The sequence below is a fragment of the Homo sapiens genome, chromosome 17 (genome assembly GCF_000001405.40).
Source record: "Homo sapiens chromosome 17, GRCh38.p14 Primary Assembly".
Lineage (NCBI taxonomy): Eukaryota > Metazoa > Chordata > Mammalia > Primates > Hominidae > Homo > Homo sapiens.
In genome coordinates this window covers 74259585-74278462 of record NC_000017.11, presented here as the reverse complement: position 1 = coordinate 74278462, position 18878 = coordinate 74259585, and the positions used below count along the sequence as shown (strand labels likewise).

The window sequence follows — 18878 nt, the reverse complement described above, 5'->3', positions numbered from 1 at the left end:
GTGATCACAATTCTCACTAACATTTCTTTTTATGAGACAGTGTCTTGCTCTGTCATCCAGGCTGGAGTGCAGTGGCATGAACACAGCTTGCTGCAGCCTCAACCTCCCAGGCTCAAGCAATCCTCCCACCTCAGCCTTCTGAGTAACTGGGACCACAGGCAGACACTACCACATCAGACTAATTTTTTTTTTTTTGTAGAGTTGAGGGTCTCACTATGTTGCCCAGGCTTGTCTCAAACTCCTGGGCTCAAGTGATCCTCCTGCCTCAGCCTCCCAAAGTGCTGGGATTATAGGCATGAGCCCATTTTCGAGATGAAGAAACTGAGGCCTGGAGAGATGAAGTATTAATACAGGGCCAAAGGTCACAGTTCTTCAGTTCAGGCAGAACCACCAGGCATGTCTGGCTCTAAAGCAGTGATTGTTAGTCCTGACTGCACATTTAGAAACACCTGCAGGGCTTTGTGAAATCACAATGCTGTTTGAACCCCAGAACAACTACATCAGAATCTCTCATCAGTATATGCTTTTTTTCTTTAATTCTCCAGGCAATTCCATGTGTAGCCAACTTTGAGGACCATTGATTTAAAGTGAGGGAACTTAATCTCTCAACCAGCGTTTCTGAAACCTGGGATCTTCCTTAAAAATACACAGACTCCCAGGCCTCTCTCCTGCAAATGCTGAACTAGATGCCTGGGGCAGGGCCTAGCAATTCGTGTTTTTCACAATCACCCTAGGTGAACATGACTACCAGACCTGTGTCTTACCTACCCTCTCCCGCCTCCAGGGCTACAAGGCACCAGACCAGTGGGTCCTGGCCGCTGGCCCCTGAGAGGCAGGGCAGGAGCTGTGTGCCCCTAGAAGCATGTGCCAGGGGGAACTTGGGCCCTGGAGCAGCTGGGGCAGCAGGTGGGGAGAAGGAGGGTAGGAAGGTTAACCCTTTGCATCCATATACATTGTGTCTTGAAGACAGTACCACCCCATCCCACTCCTAGCCCCAGAGCAACTCAACCTTAACCAGACTGTTGCAGAAAGTGGCATTTTCTTTCTTTTTTTCTTTTTTCTTTTTTTTTTTTTTTTTGAGATGGATTCTCGCTCTGTCGTCCAGGCTGGAGTGCAGTGGCAAGATCTAGGCTCATTGCAAACTCCGTCTCCCGGGTGCAAGCGATTCTCCTGCCTCAGCCTCCCGTAGCTGGGATTACAGGCACATGCCACCATTCGCGGCTAATTTTTGTATTTTTAGTAGAGACAGGGTTTCAGCATGTTGGCCAGGCTGTTCTTGAACTCCTGATCTCAAGTGATCCGCCCACCTCGGCCTCCCAAAGTGCTGGGATTACAGGCATGAGCCACCGCACCCAGCCTTGTTTTCTTCTCTTTCTTGTAGTTTGGAAATTCTCTTTCCTGGGTGGGAGCAATGGCTTAGAGGGCACAGGGTGGGATGAGAAGCCCAGATTGTAGCGGGGTGCCCCAGTGTGTTTTTACCACATGGACAAAGCTACGGCCTTGTGAAAAAGCATGCAAATCCCGTGGCATCCTCCCCTTTGCCAACACAGTGTGAAGCAACTGTGCCTCCCACATGGGGCTGCAGGACTCAGGCAATTAGGGCTGCCTGTCTCTGACTTTTAAAAGAAATTGCTGCAAGCCAGCTGGCTCCTAGGGGACACAAGGAGATTGAAGAGAATGAGGAAACTCCAGGAAGACAGAAATAGCCTCTTTAGCCCAGATCAGATTTTTAACAGCTTTGCTTTCCTTCTTGGTGTTTCCCAAGGCCAAGCCCCGAGTGAGAACAGAGGCATTGTCTTGTGTCTGGAGGCAGACAGAGGGGACATTTAAAGACTGGCCTGGTGACGGGAAGACAACCCATTCAAGGACCCAGAGCAAGCTCTTCTCACAAGCTAGCAGGGCACACAGATGAATAGCAAGGTCAGCAAAGGGCGTCTCAGGAGGTCTCCCCCAACCTCTTGTGAGACTAGTGCTAGAGGGTGGGCTTCCCCAAGCAAGGCCTGAGCAGGAGTGTCTGCATGGGGTGACAGAGCGGGGACGGGAGCAGTGTCACTGCCCTCTGGAGTTTTGGGGGGAGATCCTCCCCCCGTGGGAACCTAGAGTCCCAGAGGCGTGAAGAACACCACTGTGAGTCTCAAACACAGGAACACGCAGAATCAGGGACGCTGTGGTCCAGACATCAAAGATTCAGGCGTCTCCCGCATCCCCGGGGAGGCAGTCAGATGGGAACCTTCACTCACTATAAAAACAAAACTCGTCTTGTGCAGTGAGAATGAGCAAAGTAATTCCTGGAGAGAACCTCCGGTGGCTTAAGGGAAAGTGTGTTTTCCAAGCTGGGAGGAAGGCCAAGGGAGTGATGGGGAGGAGGAGTGTCAGCGTGGGAGACTGGGAAGGAGGCAAGCTGGAAGGTCAGCCCTCCACATTGAACTCCCTAGTGGAATAAGGAGATGAGAACATTTTCCTCTTCTTCTTGGTCCCTGGTACAGCCCCTACTGGGTTCCTGCGAGTGGTGGGCCCTGCATGGCACCTGGCAGGAGAGGACTTCCTTCCCTCTTTCTTTGTTGTTGTTGCTTTTGGGACAGTGTTGCTCTGTCACCCAGGCTGGAGTGCAGTGGTGTGATATTGGCTCACTCCAACCTCTGCCTCCCAAGTTCAAGCGATTCTTGTGCCTCAGTCTCCTGAGTAGCTGAGACTACTGGTGCATGCCACCACACTCGGCTAATTTTTTTTTTTTTTGAGACGGAGTCTCAGTCTGTCACCTAGGCTGGAGTGCAGTGGCCTGATCTCAGCTCACTGCAACCTCCACCTCCCAGGTTTAAGCAATTCTTCTGCCTCCACCTGCCGAGTAGCTGGGACTACAGGCGTGAGCCACTGCACCCGGCCAGAATTTTTGTATTTTTAGTAAAGATGGGGTTTCACCATGTTGGGCAGGCTGGTCTCAAACTCCTGACCTCAAGTGATCCATCCTCCTGGGCCTCTCAAAGCACTGGGATTACAGGTGTGAAAACCGCACCCAGCTTTCTTTCTCTTTCTTATGTCCTTGTGCACCTTCTGGAATTCCGGGGTCCTGAGGGACTCACTCTACCCTCAAAAGAGGCAGACCTCCCTAGAAAGCCCCCATTTATTTTCCCCCAGGATAGCACTAAGCATGGCTGAGCCCCCCAAGGAAAGTGAAGGTTGAGGGCAGGACGAGTTGGGAAGAGGTCCCCAGAATTGGAGACCGATGGGGGTCAGTGACTACCTGCCCTCACAACTACCTTGTGGTCTCCTTGACGGAAAGACTGTGGTCTTTTATTCACTCCCGTCCCCAGGGACTGGCACATAGAAGGGGCCCAAGACTCCTGTCACCTGCTGCGTTAGTGACTGTGATACCAGCGCCTACCAGGCTTCTCTCTACAGCTCTCTCCCCTGTTCCTCCTCTGCTGACCGTGACAAACAAGCAAAGGATTTGAAACCAAGGATTCGAGAGGAAAACACATAGGGTCTGAAAGCTGGGAGAAGACGCACTTCTGTGGTTCAAGAGAATGTGGTAAACCTTGACCTTGAGCAGGAAGGAGGAACTGCACACGCTCCGGAGGAACTCACCAACTGTATGACCTCGATCACACGAGAACGCCAGCTCCCAGGTTGAGGAAGAAATGAAAGAAAGCACTTAAAACACCTGCCACCTAGCAGGTGTGCAATACTGTTAATTTACATCCCTCTATCCTGAGCAGAAAGCTCTCCTCTTAAAGGGCCCATCTTCCCATCACCCTAGCCGGAGGCTGTTTTTCTTCTTTTTTTTCCATCCATTCAGCTGTAAATCCTTCAGAGGTCTCCAGTCCACTCCAGGACAAGGACTGTATCAGGACCTGAGTGGGTAGGAGGGTATGAGGCAGGGTGTACAGAGGCTGCAGGGTCCTGCGACTTGGGGCGGATCCAGGGCAGCGAGGACTAAGGGGAAGAGGGCACTAGGAGCGCTAGTCCTGGCAGCCACCATCTGGCAGAGCTATCCCAGAAGGAAGCCCCCCAAGAGGAATGTTTGGCACTCTTGGTGGTTATTACCCTGTAAGTCTCTCCCTGTCACTCTCCACTCTAGTCTTTAGCCTCCGACGTCCTCCTGGCGCCCGCCCCTTACCCTGGGTCCGCTCCTTCTGCTTCTGGGTCTCTGGGGAAGCGTTCAATCCACGGTCGCGGCTCCGGTGCTCCTCAAACGGCGGCGTTTACCGGTTGCTTGGCAACCCCGGCCTGGCTCCGGACGCGCGGGGCGACGCGGAAGGACCCCGGAGCACGTGACTCCTTTCCTGCCACGTCGGAAGCGCAGGCCATCCCTCTTCTTTTTGGAGGTCTCCTGAGTTAGGAGAAGAATTAACCAATAGGTTGGTAACATACTAATAATGATCATGAATATTTGTAGGGGCGTTGCCAAGGCGCTTATCCAAGCCTACGTTTGTATGCATTTGCATCGAGCAAGGCACCCAGAAAATGCAAGGAAGAATAGTCAGTGCTTGGGAAGCCCTGATCCCTGGGTGGTGATGGCGGGCTCTGCTTACCATCTTGGCCGACTGTGTTGTCCTGCCTTCCTTCAGTTTCCGCATCCATTCAGTGGGAATTATAACTCTGCCCTCCCCTCTGCTACCATCCTTCCTCCACTTTCTGTAATAAAGACATCTTCCCGCACCACCAGAATGGAAACTCCTTGGGAGTAGAAGCTGGGGAATTTTTTTTTTTTTGAGACGGAGTCTCGCTCTGTCGCCCAGGCTAGAGTGCAGTGGCGCGATCTCGGCTCACTGCAAGCTCCGCCTCCCGAGTTCACACCATTCTCCTGCCTCAGCCTCCCGAGTAGCTGGGACTACAGGTGCCCGCCACTACGCCCGGCTAATTTTTTGTATTTTTAGTAGAGACGGGGTTTCTCCGTGTTAGCCAGGATGGTCTCGATCTCCTGACCTTGTGATCCGCCTGCCTCGGCCTCCCAAAGTGCTGGGATTACAGGCGTGAGCCACCGCGCCCGGCAAAGCTGGGGATTTTTACAGCTTAGCTGGGTGATTGGCACGAAATGTACTGTGTTCATTGAATGAATGGTTGAATGAATGAAACGAGTCATGTTTCTCAGGGAGTTAAGGCAATTGCGATCATGTAAATTAAAACAAGGGAATTTGGGGCTAGAAAAAAATGAATTTGAATCCCAGATTGGCTACCTACTAATCTCATGGCCCTGGGCAAGTTCCTTTCCTTTTCTAAGACTCAGCTATCCTCATCTGCAAAGTGGCAGGACAGTGGCGGTGCTTATTAGATAATGGGGAGGATTAAGTGAGAGACAACACAGGGGCGTGTCCAGCCCCCGTCCAGAGCTACTGGTGCCTGAATGAGTGGCAGCTCGGGGAATGAGGTTATCCCGAGTTCAGATGCTGACATCGGAAATTTGGACTGGGACAGAAGAGGAGTGCGTCATCCAAGAAGTGGGATTGGGGTTGGAACTGGGCCTTGAAAAATGGTTATGAGTTGCAGGGAAGAGGAGTGGGGAGGGCGTTCCAGATTGGGGGAGGGCATGGCGTGAGCAAGGAAGGAAGGGGCAGTCGTCATGGAAGAAAGGCATTTTGCGAGGATGGTGGGTGGATCAGTCTGGCTGGGGTTGAGAGTCCCTGCAGGGGAAAAATGAGAGAGGAATTTGCAAAGGTCAGCCAGGGCCAGTCTGTGGGGGGTCCCAAGAGAGGCAGGCTGAGGGGCCCAGACAGCTTTCCATGGGAAGCCCTCAGCGGGTTTGGGATCTGTGAAAGGACAGGAAGGAAGCAAACGTTTCTCTCCCACTTCCCAACTTCTCCATATATGTGTTGTCACCACTACCCACCTGCCTTTAGTGGGGCAGGTGCAAGGAAATTCCCAATGAGACGGCACCTTGCAGGGCCGCACTAACCAAAGACAAGCACCTAAATGACTGCTGCCACCAATCTCTCCTGATCCGTTCTGGCTCGCACCAGTTTCTCGGGACAAAGAACTCTTAGGGGTGGGTGCTGAGGGTCCTGACAGGGGCTGGGTGGAGGAGCTCCTGAAAGACGCATTGAAATGGCTTTGTGTGGTCAGAGGTGAATCAGACCCAAAGTCTCCAAGAATAGGAAACGATCCACTCCATGATGAGGTAGTGGCTGGCTGGGGTTGCAATCATAATGCAACCCTTTCCACTCCACCTCCAGCCCTGGGAAGCCGAGGGCTCTCTGAAGACACATTATTTTGTGGGTGGGAAAGTGGGTTAGAAGGGGAAATAGGAAAAGTTGAAAGGAAACTGCAGCCACCTTTACCATATTATCCAACAATTTAGTACAGGCTCCCCACCCCCACCCTCACCCAGAAGGCTGCAGGCCACCGACCACAGAGGGCAGCTCTGTTCACTGGCCAAACAGTTACCCCTTGGCCGGCTGCCTCGGCGTGAGGTCATATAATTAGAAGTATTCACAAGGACCTAGTTTGAAAACAATTGCGGTGCCTCTCAGATCTTCACCCAATCACAGCATAATTGGCAGCAGAAATTCTTTGCTGAGAGCCGCCCCTGGCCCTGGACATCCCCAGGCATTGCCACAACCCGTTCCACTGCTGTGTCCCCCTTTAGTCCCAATTTTTGTGTGCGTGGTGAACTACACATAAAATTTACCATCTTAACCATTTTTCAGTGTATAGTTCAGTGGTATTAAGTTCATTCACATTGTTTTTTGGTCTCGCTCTGTCGCCCAGGCTGGGGTACAGTGGTGTAATCATGGCTCACTGCAGCCTCAACCTCCAGGGCTCAAGCGAGCCCCCCTCCTCAGCCTCCCAAGTAGCTGGGAACACAGGTGCACATACCCATGCTCGGCTAATTTTTTTCATTTTTTGTAGCCACAGGTAAGAGGCAGGACTTGATTCTGGAGGCAGGGCTCAGACACCAGACCAGACTGAGGGCTAGCTAAAATAGGGAAGAGGCGGAAGCAGCTCTCCATAAGACACGCCCACCAGTGTGCCATGTCAATTTACCATTGCCATGGCAACACCTGGAAGTTATCCACCCCTTCCATGGCAATGACCCAATGACCTGAATGTTACCACCCTTTTTCTAGAAATGTCTGCATGATCCACCTCTTAATTTGCATGTAATTAAAAATGGGCATAAATATGACTGCAAAACTGCTTCTGAGCTGCTAGTCTCTGCACACTGCCTACAGGTAGCCCTGCTCTGCAGGAGCAGTCATGAGCTGTAGCACTGCCACCTCAATCAAGCAGTTTTCCTCTGCCACTGGCTCACCCTTGAATTCTTTCCTGGGCAAAGCCAAGAACCCTCCCGGGCTAAGCCTCAATTTGGGCCTTACCTGCCCTGTGTCATCCCTATGTTGCCCAAGCTGGTCTCCAACTCCTAGGCTCAAGCGATCCTCCTGCCTTGGCCTCCCAAAGTGCTGGGATTACAGGTGTGAGCCACTGCACCCAGCCTATGTTTTACCGTTCTTTTTTTTTTGAGACAGGGTCTCCCTCTGTCACCCAGGCTAGAGTGCAGTGGTGCAATCTCACCTCACTGCAACTTCCGCCCCACCCCAGCTCAAGTAATCCTTCTACCTCAGCCCCCCGAGTAGCTGGGACCACAAGTGTGCACCATCACACCTGGCTATTTTTTTTGTACTTTTTGTACAGACAGGGTCTTACCATGTTGCTCAGGCTGGTCTCAAACTCCTGAGCTCAAGCGACTCACCCACCTTGGCCTCCCAAAGTGCTGGTATTACAGATATGAGCCACCACACCCAGCCTTGTGCTACCTTCTCGAAGGCAGAGTATCTAGATAAATTATTTGGAATCCTGCATGAGAGATTCGTTAGTCACTTTTTTAGACTTAACTTTGCTTGGCTCATAATGTGCAATACAATAACATTTGGTAGGAACCATCTGCTCTTCCCGCCAATGTTGAAAACAAGCTGCACGTGGTTTGCAGGAGTGAGATGCAGGCAGCACGTTCTGCCGGCTCGCTGCTGCGGCACCCCCTTACCAAAGCGTCTGCCTGCCTCGCCAGCTTCCTTCCAGGACTGTGAGTGCCTAGAAAGTGGAAACCTCATTCTATTCATCTTCATAGTCACAGTGCTTGTGGGAGGGCCTGGTTTGTAAAAGCTTCCCAGGATGGAATTCATCACATCAATGGCAAGCCCACCAAGCCCTCATGTTGCTAGCGGTTAAGTAACACTAGTTGCACTTTTGCTAATGCAGACCAGATCTCTCTCTGCCATTCTGCCACCCCAGGGCAAGGCTACCTTGCATTCTTTTTGTTGTTGTTGTTTTGAGACGGAGTTTTGCTCTTTCGCCCAGGCTGGAGTGCAGTGGCATGAACTCGGCTCACTGCAACCTCCGCCTCCCTGGTTCAAGTGATTCTCCTGCCTCAGCCTCCCAAGTAGCTGGGATTACAGGCACGCGCCACCATGCCCGGCTAATTTTTGTATTTTTTAGTAGAGACGGGGTTTCGCCATGTTGGCCAGGCTGGTCTCGAACTCCTGACCTCAGGTGATCCACCTGCCTCGGCCTCCCAACGTGCTGGGATTACAGGCGTGAGCCACCATGCCCAAACTCCCTTGTATTTTTTCTGGAACTGTAGTCCTGGGGTCAGTCCTGCTGAGCCCTCCTCAAGGTCCCTTGCCTTCTGCTTTTCTAGAGCTCTGAGCAATATTTGACTAACCAGAGGCAGCTGTTCTTGCCAAGGGACATACTCCACTCATGCAGGTGTGGCTTTTCTTGGGAAATAAGGGGCCCCAGAATGAAAAAAAGTCATTCGTAGTCCGTGTCCAAAGAAAGCAAAATAGGAGAGTGGAAGACAGAGTAGGAGCCATATCCGAGTGCATTTCTGGGATCAACTGGAAAAGGAGACTTTGGAAAGGTTGAAACTCTTTTTTTTTTTTTTTTTTTCGAGACAAAGTCTTGCTCTGTCCCTAGGCTGGAGTGCAGTGGTGCGACCTTGGCTTCCTACAACCTCCACCTCCCAGGTTCAAGCAGTTCTCATGCCTCAGCCTCCTACAGAGCTGGGTCTACAGATGCCTGCCATCATGCTCGGCTTATTTTTGTATTTTTAGTAAAGATGGTGTTTCACCATGTTGGCCAGTCTGGTCTCAAAATCCTGGCCTCAACTGATTCACCTGCCTCGGCCTCCCAGAGTGCTGGGATTACAGGCTTGAGCCACCAGACCCGACCCCCTTTTTCTCTTTAATATTTTATTTATTTTTTGAGACAGTCTCACTCGTTCCCTCAGGCTGGAGTGCAGTGGTGCAATCACTGCAGCCTCGACCTCCTAGCTCAATCGATCCTCCCACCTCAGCCTCCCGGGTAGCCAGGACCACAGGTGCATGCCACCATGCTCAGCTAAGTTTTGTATCTTTAGTAGAGACAGGGTTTCACCATGTTGCCCAGGCTGGTCCCAAATTCCTGGGCTTAAGTGATCCTCCTTCCTTGGCCCCCCAAAGTGCTAGGGTTACAGGCATGAGCCACTGCACTTGGCCAGAAACTCTTTTAAGGCATTTTGGGAAGACCCCACATCCTTGTAAGCCCTGGGTGGCTAGCACCTTCTGCTTCTCTGACAAGGCGCCTCTATTTTGCCTGAAAAGCCCCTAGTGCACAGCACATCTGCTAGGAACGGTGGAGATGGGAAGGCTGGAGAGGGATGGGGCAACTGCCAGGAATCGCAGGGGAGGTGGAATCAGATTGCTCTCCTCCCATTCTGGCTGAGACCCGGGAGACTGCGGAGTCAGGGTGTGGGGCTCTGGGTCACCACAGGGCATCCGGAGTTTGAGGGAGTCCTGGAAGAGGCTGTGCCAGGCTGTCAACCACAAACTTCAAACATTTCTCCCTGGTCAGCTCTTCTTTCCCGCCTCCACAGGAGGAGGAACCTCTCCCTTGAGAGCCAGGTAAAGGCTAAGACCTTTTGCCCAGTCGCTTGTGCTCTCTAGCCCTTGTTCTACCTGGGGTGGTTTGTCGGTGAGGACCACCCCGTGCCCCTCCGCGAGGCCTCCCCTCATCGCTTCCCGTACACCAGCTCTCCGGTTTCCTTCCTGCTTCTTTATTCTTTCTCAGCTCTTTCTTCTGCCTGCTCCTTAATTTTTTTTTTTTTTTTAGACGGCGTCTGGCTCTGTCGCCCAGGCTGGAGTGCAGTGGAGTGATCTTGACTCACTGCAACCTCGACCTCCAGGGTTCAAGTGACTCTCGTGCCTCAGCCTGCCAAGTAGCTGGGACTACAGACATGTGCCACCACAGCCGGCTAATTTTTTATTTTTTTAGTAGAGATGGGGTTTCGCCATGTTGGCCTCGATCGTCTCAAATTTCACCATGTTGGCCCGGCTGGCCTCAGCCTCCCAAAGTGCTGGGATTATAGGCTCAGCCACTACGCCTGGCCTGCTCCTCAAATGTTGGGGTCCCATACTGGACTCTGCCCACTCTTTCTGGGCTCTTCCACTCTCTCCATAGCATTAGTGACGGCATCTATGTGTTGTCTCCCAGATCCAGGCCTCATCAGTCTAGACTTTGAGTTGCCTGCCTGACCTTGCCCTCAGATGTTGCAAAAACTCTTTCAAACCTATCAGCAATGGAGTGCTCTTCTCCCCATTAGCTCCTCCCCAGTGGTTGATGGGTTACTAGCACCCGTTTGTCCACCTGATCACCTAGGACTTAACAGCTCTTGTGAAGTTCCTCTGAAACAGGGTGACAGACTTGTGTATAACTACCATGACCATGGGCACTGACTTGCATTCGCCTGTTCAAAGACAAACATGAGTGCTGCTTCGTGCGTGTGAGCCTCAGGAAGGCATTTGCATTGTGCTTCCAGAAAGCACCCATCAAATCGACAATTTGTTGGCAGGCGGGAAGAGTGTTTTTTCTCTCTCTCTTTTTTTTTTCTTCGAGATGGAGTCTTGCTCAGTCGCCCAGGTTGGAGTGCAGTGGCAGACCTTCATGGTGAGTGTTACAGCTCTTAAAAATGGCACAGACCCAAAGAGTGAACAGCAGCAAGATGTATCGTACAGCGAGAAAAAACAAAACTTCCACAGGGTGGAAGGGTACCCAAGTGAGTTGCTGTGGTTGGCTGTGGGGTGGCCAGCTTTTATTCCCTTATTTGTCCCCGCCCATGTTCCATTTTTGTCCTATCAGAGTGCCCTTTTTTTCAATCCTCCCTGAGATTGGCTACTTTTAGACTCCTGCTGATTGGTGCATTTTACAGAGTGCTGATTGGTGCATTTTACAGAGCACTGATTGGTGTGTTTTACAATCCTCTTGCTAGCTACAGAGCGCTGATTAGTGCATTTTTACAGAGTGCCGATTGGTGCATTTTACAATCCCCTTGCTAGCTACAGAACACTGATTGGTACGTTTTACAGTCCTAGCTACAGAGTGCTGATTGGTGCACTTTACAATCTTCTTGTAAGACAGAAAAGTTCTCCAAGTCCCCACTCAACCCAGGAAGTCCAGCTGGCTTCACCTCTCACTGCCACCATGCCCAGCTAATTTTTGTATTTTCGGTAGAGACAGGGTTTCACCATGTTGGCCAGGGTGGTCTCGAACTCTTGACCTCAGGTGATCTGCCCGCCTCAGCCTCCCAAAGTGCTGGGGTTACAGGCGAGAGCCACCGTGCCCGGCCAGAGTGTTTTTTCTCAATGGGATTCTGGTGCTGACACAGTCTCCGCTCTTCTCTGTACTCCTGCATTGGTGGTTGAAAGTGGGACACATTTTTGTTGTTGTTGTTCTGTCAGACCAGCTGCTTTTGGGTGATGGGTATGTGGGGAAACCATTGGCTCCCAGGGGCATGAGCCCATTGCTTTACTTCTTTTATTTTGATTTTTTGAGAAAGGGCCCTTGCTCTGTCACCAGGCTGGAGTGCAGTGGCACGATCACAGCTCACTGTAGACCTACCAGGGCTCAGGCGATTCTCTCACCTCAGCCTCCTGCGTAGCTGGGACCACACACAGGTGCACACCACTATGCCTCAGTAATTTTTGTATTTTTTTTTTTTTTTGTAGAGACGGGGTCTCACTATGTTGCCCAGGCTGGTCTCGGCTTCCCAAAGTGCTGGGATTATAGATATGAGCCACTGTACCTGGCCCAAAAGTGGAGAGACGTTTTAAAGAATGAAAAGAAGATGTCCAAGATAAAGCACGAGGTAGAAAAAGCAATTGCAGAAGAATATGTATAGTGTGACTGTATTTCTGCACATCCATTAGGACAAAACCTGGAGAATGTGAACCAAACTGGTCCTGGTATTTTGCTCTGGGTTGATGGATTATGGGGGATTTTCACTTTCTCACACATTTTTGTAAAGTTTGAAATGTTTTCACCACACACATTCTTTTGTAATCAGAATAGATGATGATGGGCCGGGTATGGTGGCTCATGACTGTAATCTGAGCATTTTGGGAGGCTGAGGCAGACAGATTGCTTGAGTCCAGGAATTCAAGACCCAGCCTGAGCAACATGGTGAAACCCCATCTCTACAAAAAAAAAAAAATACAAAAATTAGCCGGGCATGGTGGTGTGCCTGTAGTCCCGGCTACTGGGGAGGCTGAGATGGGAGTATGGCTTGAGCCCAGGAAGTGGAGGCTGCAGTGAGCCAAGATCACAACACTGCCTTCCAGCCTGGGTGACAGAACAAGACCCTGTAAGGAAAGAAAAGAAAATTAAAAAGAAAAAAGGAGAGAAGAGGGGCAAAGAAAAGGAGGGAAGGAAGAAAAGAAAGAAAAAAAGAAAGGAAGAAAGACGATGACAATTAGACAAGCCGAAACAGGAGGCCCAAGATTCAAGGAGTTTAACCAAATGTCCAGATGAGACCCTGAATTTGTATGTAAGCAAGTCAGTGTTGATAATGTTACTTGTCTTCCTTGCTAATTTCTAAACTACATGAAGTCAAGGACCCTGATTGCCTTAGATACTTCTGTAGTCCCGGAATTTAGACAACGTGGTGTTGTGCTCAGCCAGGGGCCAGCAAACTGTAAACTACTAGAAAATGGAATAAATATTTTAGGCTTTTTGGGCCAAGAGGCAAAATGAAAGGTAACATGTAAGTACTTACTTTTTTAATGTTTATTTTATTTTAAGACATGGTCCTGCTATGTTGCCCAGGATGGTCTTAAACTCCAGGGCTCAAGCGCTCCTCCTGCCTCAGCCTCCCCAAGTGTTGGGATTACAGGTGTGAGTCACCATACCTGGCATAGGTACCTATGTGACAAGAAAGGAAACCAATTTCCACAGATTTTTTTATTTTTTATTTTTTGAGCAGAGTCTTGCTCGGTTGCCCAGGCTGGAGTGCAGTGGTGTGGTCTCAGCTCACTGCAACCTCCACCTCCTGGGTTCAAGCGATTCTCCTGCCTCAGTCTCCTGAGTAGCTGGGATTACAGGCACCCATCACCTTGCCTGGGTAATTTTTATATTGTTAGTAGAGACAGGGTTTCACCATGTTGGCCAGGCTGGTCTTGAACTCCTGACCTCAACTGATCCATCTGCCTCGGCCTCCCAAAGTGCTGGGATTACAGGTGTGAGCCAGAGTGCCTGGCCAATTTCCACAGTTTTCTACTTGATGAAATAAAAATGTTATAATAATTAAGTACAATTTTTTGGTAATACAGGTCTATTGAGAAGAACAGAATCTTTGGGGAGGGAGATAAATTTTGCCTAATTGAGGTTCACAGTGTTCTCGACCATCAAAATTAGTTGCAGGCTGGGCTCGGTGGCTCATGCCTGAAATCCCAGCACTTTGGGAGGCCAAGGCAGGTGGATCACTTGAGGTCAGGAGTTTGACACCAGCCTGGACAACATGGTGAAACCCTGTCACTACTAAAAATACAAAAATTAGCCAGGCGTAGTGGTGCACGCCTGTAATCTCAGCTACCTGGGAGGCTGAGGCATGAGAATTGCTTGAACCTGGGAGGTGGAGGTTGCAGTGAGCCAAGATTGTGCCACTACACTCCAGCCTGGGCGACAGAGCAAGTCACTGTCTCAAAAAAATCCTCAACCAAAGACCCTGAGTCACCGTCCCAGAAGAAAAAGAAGGAAAAAGTAGAAAGAAGACAGCAAAGCAGACTGTATGACGGGCACGAGCACCAGGCACAGGGATTTCCTAGCTGAGCGGTGGCCATCTCCATGCCTCTGACCTCCGCTGACCTCTGCCCACCATGGGTGGGAGCTAAACTGTTACCTTCCCTCGCTCCACAGAAGACAACAGCCAGCTGCAGGGGTCCCTGTGCTGGCCAAGCCAGTGAGCCTGCGGGGAGGCTGGTCCGAGGAGAGAGTGGACCAGCTCCCATGACCTCGCCCCACTCCCCCAACATGGGACGCGTCGTATAGATGTGTACAGTATATGTATTTTCTTAAGTGACCTCCTCTCCTTCCGCAGACCCCACAGGCCCAAAGGCCTTGGGACTTCCCACCACCTTGCTCCACAGACCCAGCTAGACCTGACCTGTGCCTCATCCCATATGCCACTCGGTCTCTGGCTGATCCCGAGGCTTTATCTTCCTCTCGTCAGTTCTTTTGGTTGTGTTTTTTGTTGTTTTTTCTTAATAACTCAAAAAAAAAAAAGGAGGGGAAAAAAAAACAAACCAAAAGCCAAAAAATAGTTGCAAATGTCTGATTTTTTTGTTAACCATTTAAAAATATAAAAACTATTTTATACCCACAGGCCTTCCAAGGCAGCTGGCCGGCTGGGCTCACTGGCTCTAGTTCATTGGCTCCTGTGTTAATCAATCAATCCATTATTTATTTATTTATGTATTTATTTATTTTTTGAGACAGGGTCTCACTGTCACCCAGACTAGAGTGTGGTGGCGCGATCTCGGCTCACTGCAACCTCCACCTCCTAGGCTCAAGCGATTCTCCTATCTCAGCCTCCTAAGTAGCTGGGATTACAGGTGTGCGCCACTACCACCCGGCTAATTTTTGTATTTTTAGTAGAGATGGGGGTTTCATCATGTTGGACAGGCTGGTCTCGAACTCCTGACCTCAAATGATCCACCCGTCTCAGCCTCCCAAAGTGCTGGGATTACAGGCCTGAGCTGCTGCACCCTGCAGTATTTATTTTTAAAGATGGGGTCTCACTATATTGCCTGGGCTAGTCTTGAACTCCTGGGTTCAAGAGATCTTCCCGCCTTTGACCCCCACCGTGGACCCCCAAAGTGTTGAGATTACATGAGCCAGCACGCCTGGTGGCAATCCATTTTTAAATGAATGAAAAGGGGAAGAAAGGAAGGTAAAATTTTCCATATGGGTATATCTGTCAACAGACACACCAGGCTTCTTGACTGATCTGCAATGTGGGGAGTTAAGAGATTGTGGAAACACCCCTGCTGGTCCTAAATTTAAGACTGTACAGCTTTGGAGGGGGAGAAAGCTCGTTGGAGATGAATTAGCTTTGGAGAAGAAACCACTCTGTTGGCTGCTCCCCGTGGGTAGGTCGTGGGCTCCAAATGACAGCCTGGGACACTCGTGGTGAAAGCTCCACCTGCTGTTCCAGGCAAAAGGGGTCTGGTGGAGTTTGCTGCTGTCTCTCTCCAGGAGCAGGTTAAGCTCCAGTCTCTCCTCCTAAGCTGGCTGTTCTGGGTCTGCAGTCAGGTTGCTGTTGAGAGAATGGCTGTTCAGAGGACGTTTAGGAGGGTAAAGGTGGGCCTGCCTGCAGACTGGCAGGCAAAACAGGGGCCCAGAACCCACTTCCCCACCCCACTCCTTTCCCTTGCGGGAGAGACTAATGCAGCTGAGATGAGAAAGGGAGATGACACGCGTAGTGATCAGACCACACTCCGGCTTGTGCATTCCCAAGGCTTCCTTCCTAGTTCATGCAGGGCCGGCCTACAAGTCAGGTCCCACTCCAGCTCCGAGACAATGGAAGCCCCCCAAAGCCAATCTCATTTGGGTATTGAGATGCAGTTAACGGCTGAGTGAGGTGGCTCACGCCTGTAATCCCAGCACTTTGGGAGGCCAAGGCAGGCGGATCATCTGAGGTCGAATTCGAGATCAGCCTGGCCAATACGGTGAAACCCCGTCTCTACTAAAAATACAACAATTAGCCGGGTGTGGTGGCACCCACCTGTAATCCCAGCTCCTTGGGAGGCTGAGGCAGGAGAATCTCTTGAACCCCAAAGGTGGAGGTTGCAGTGAGCCGAGATGGCGCCACTGCACTCCAGCCTGGGTGACAGAGCGAGACTCTGTCTCAAAACAAAACAAAACAAAAAGAACAAAAAAAGAACAGTGACCCTTAGGGGGAATTCTGGAGAAAGATCAGGGCAGAAATAAGTCCTGTCCCTGGTCCTGTAAGAGCAGCTGGAAGCCACGCAAGAGCACCATGACATTCGTTCAAGCCCCTCTTTCAGTCCTGGCACGGAAATCGCGACTGGAATCTGCTTCTAAGCCTCCCACCACATGACCCTGCCGGAGGGGAGCGCTCCATCTTTCAATACCCTCGTTATTTCCTGCAGCTGTGGAAGTCAGAAACGGAACGCACATTTTAGTACAAGTGGTTTATTTCTCTTCCAGGTGAGGCCGCATGTATATAAGCAAAGGTTTGCCCACCTGGTTCCTTCAGGAACTCCCCGAGGAATCTGTTTAGTTTCCATGCATTAAAAACAACCCTCTAGTTGCCAATAATGAAACTTTAAGAAGCAACACTTTGACGTCGCAGAGTTCCTCTCTGCATGTGACGCGGATATACCAAAGTGAGTTTATGGCATACAGTATGCATGGGTTAATGTAGGTGAGACAGGGAGTCCCGGCTGCCCTGTGGCCCCATTCTGTTGTGGAGGCTTCGCTGGGAGCTGAGAACACCCTGCTGTCCATGTTTTGATGACAGGTGGTTCTTCCAAAACAGAAGCACCGAGTCACCGCACGCCCCTGCTTCAGTGTGCGAGGCCGTGGGGCTCTGGTGTTGTGAACTCCAGGTTGGCAGGAGGTTGGAAGCACCAAAGACCCCAACTCTGGTCCCTCAACAGGCAGTATTGGGGGACATTATTCCCTCCTGGCCAATAAGCTCCTGTGGCCTGGGACACTGGGTGGGGACAGGTGGTGGGGGTGGGGCAGGGCAGAGGCCTATCCTCCTATAAAGACACAGTTGTAGCACTTTGCTAAAACCTTTTCTGGCAAACTTACTTGGAGACAACAGGGAGGGGACAGCTGATGTAGGCATTTGGCTAGTCCCCTAGAACAGGGAACTCTGGCTTTCCCTCTTGGCTTTTTTCTCCTCTTAAAGATCCTCCCTCTGTGGGTGAGATGAACCCAGATCCCCACCAAACAGTAGCTTGGGACAGGATGCCTCACTGATCCTTATTTAAGAATCGACTCCTTCCCGTCTCCTCCAGATCTGCAGATCTCCAGATCAGTGCCAGCAAAATCTGCAAAAGTAGTGACCTAACCAGGGTAAGGAATGAGCTGCAAATCTGTTGTAAAAACTGGATGTGCTAGGAGTTTCAATTCTTTGGATAATCAACATGTTTAAAACACTGGAGAAAAGAAAGACCTAAAGTCGTTTCAAAGTGTCTGTTCATACCTGAGACCATGCCTATCTGCAGCTAACACATTCTGCAGCATTGATTCTGGAATAGAGGCGAGGCAATGGAGGGTTAGGGAGACAGGCGGAATGTGGCAGGCTTTCACCTCTGTTCCCACCGGGGTTCACCAGCCTGTGATCCCCCAGCCCCGGAGCCACCAGCCCCCCACTGCAGAGCTTTCCTGATGCCTCCCCTCTGTGGCCCAGGAAGAGCCTGTCTGGCCCTGGGAACTCTGATTTGGGCTGTTCTGGTGTCAGCAGGGGTGCGAACTTCTTAAAGAGCATCTCCTGATCAGCCCTTCTCATGTTACCTGCAGGGAACGAGGACAGGGAACGAGGACAGAGGGGTCGTCTGGGCTCTTGGCTGGGCTGACAAGAGGCAGAGTCATCGTTGTGGGACCAGAGAGAACACACAGCTCTCTTGATGGTGGTGCCTGACCTGGCCCCCTCCTCACTGCCACTCCCCTCCTGGCAAGGGCGAGGCGTAGGGGTGAGCAGGGCCAGGCAGCCAGCTCAGGGATGGTACCTCTGAGGCAGCCAAGCACCTGGGGGCATTTCTGGTGTGGAGAGCAGGGCAAAAGAGAGAGGCTGGCCCGCGTGGTGAGTCTTCTGCACCCCCTGGGGCTTTGGTCGGGAATCCCAGCTGCTCCTCTGCCACAGCAGGAGGCCTCTCGGGCTCCAGATGCCTTTGGTTTCTATTAAAGAAACGCAGCTTGTATTTGCACTAATTAAAAACCAGAACGGAAAAAGGAGGCAGGAACCCCCGAAAGTCTGTTAGGCTGGAAACTGATTCCCGTAGTGCCTCAGGTGCTCATCCGCCACAGACAGGTAGGTGGCTCTCATGCTGGGAGAGTACTGCCAAGAGAGAAGAGAGGGGATGGTCAGAGCTGAGTCAGCCAAGCACTGCACCAGCAAAGGTGCCGGGGACTTCTCAGAGTGGAACTGGGTCGGGTGTCAGAGGGAAACCCGGCCGTGCCTCCACCCCACATCCATCAAGACTTCTGCCTCCCAGCCTCAAATAAAAAATGCACACACAGACCAGCTGTCCTCCAATGTCCACTCCGCCCCAGCACACACCCCCAGCATCCAGCCTGTCCCCTCACACTGGGGGCAGCGTCAGGGTCCACCAGCGCACGGAGGAGCAGTCAGCAGCCAGCAGGCTGAGGGCAGAGGCCCAGAGACTCAGAGAAGCAGGTTCAAATCCCAGCTGTGCATCTTACCCCGTGACCTTGGCTTAGGTTCTCCAGCCTTTTCTAGCCTCAGTTTCCCTACCTGCAAAATGGACATAAGAGCACCCAGCTCTTACGTTGAAAGGGCGAAATGATATGGAGCAGGGAAGAGCCTTAATAACACAGCTGCTCTCAAACTGGGCTGCTCGCCAGAAACACCTGGGGAGCCT

General features: G+C 51.2%; 2 protein-coding genes across 19 annotated transcripts in view; both read right to left on the bottom strand.

Moving 5' to 3' along the window:
• DNAI2 (dynein axonemal intermediate chain 2) overlaps positions 1-4229 on the bottom strand; it is a 40651-nt gene extending 36422 nt beyond the window's left edge. For 12 of the 16 annotated variants that reach the window (XR_007065398.1, XR_007065399.1, XR_007065395.1 and 9 more), the window contains exon 1: positions 4118-4229. The gene's annotated coding sequence lies outside the window, so the exon portion shown is untranslated. Of the gene's footprint in view, positions 1-3585; positions 3620-4044 lie in introns of all 16 variants that reach the window. The other 4 variants (XR_007065390.1, XR_007065393.1, XR_007065388.1 and 1 more) reach the window with 4 other exon arrangements.
• Positions 16443-18878, bottom strand: part of TTYH2 (tweety family member 2) — a 48450-nt gene continuing 46014 nt past the window's right edge. For all 3 annotated transcript variants that reach the window (NM_032646.6, NM_001330453.2, NM_052869.1), the window contains one exon: positions 16443-18334. In NM_032646.6, coding sequence (NP_116035.5) covers positions 18254-18334 — 81 coding nt within the window. In that variant the 3' untranslated portion in view covers positions 16443-18253. The remainder of the gene's footprint in view (positions 18335-18878) is intronic.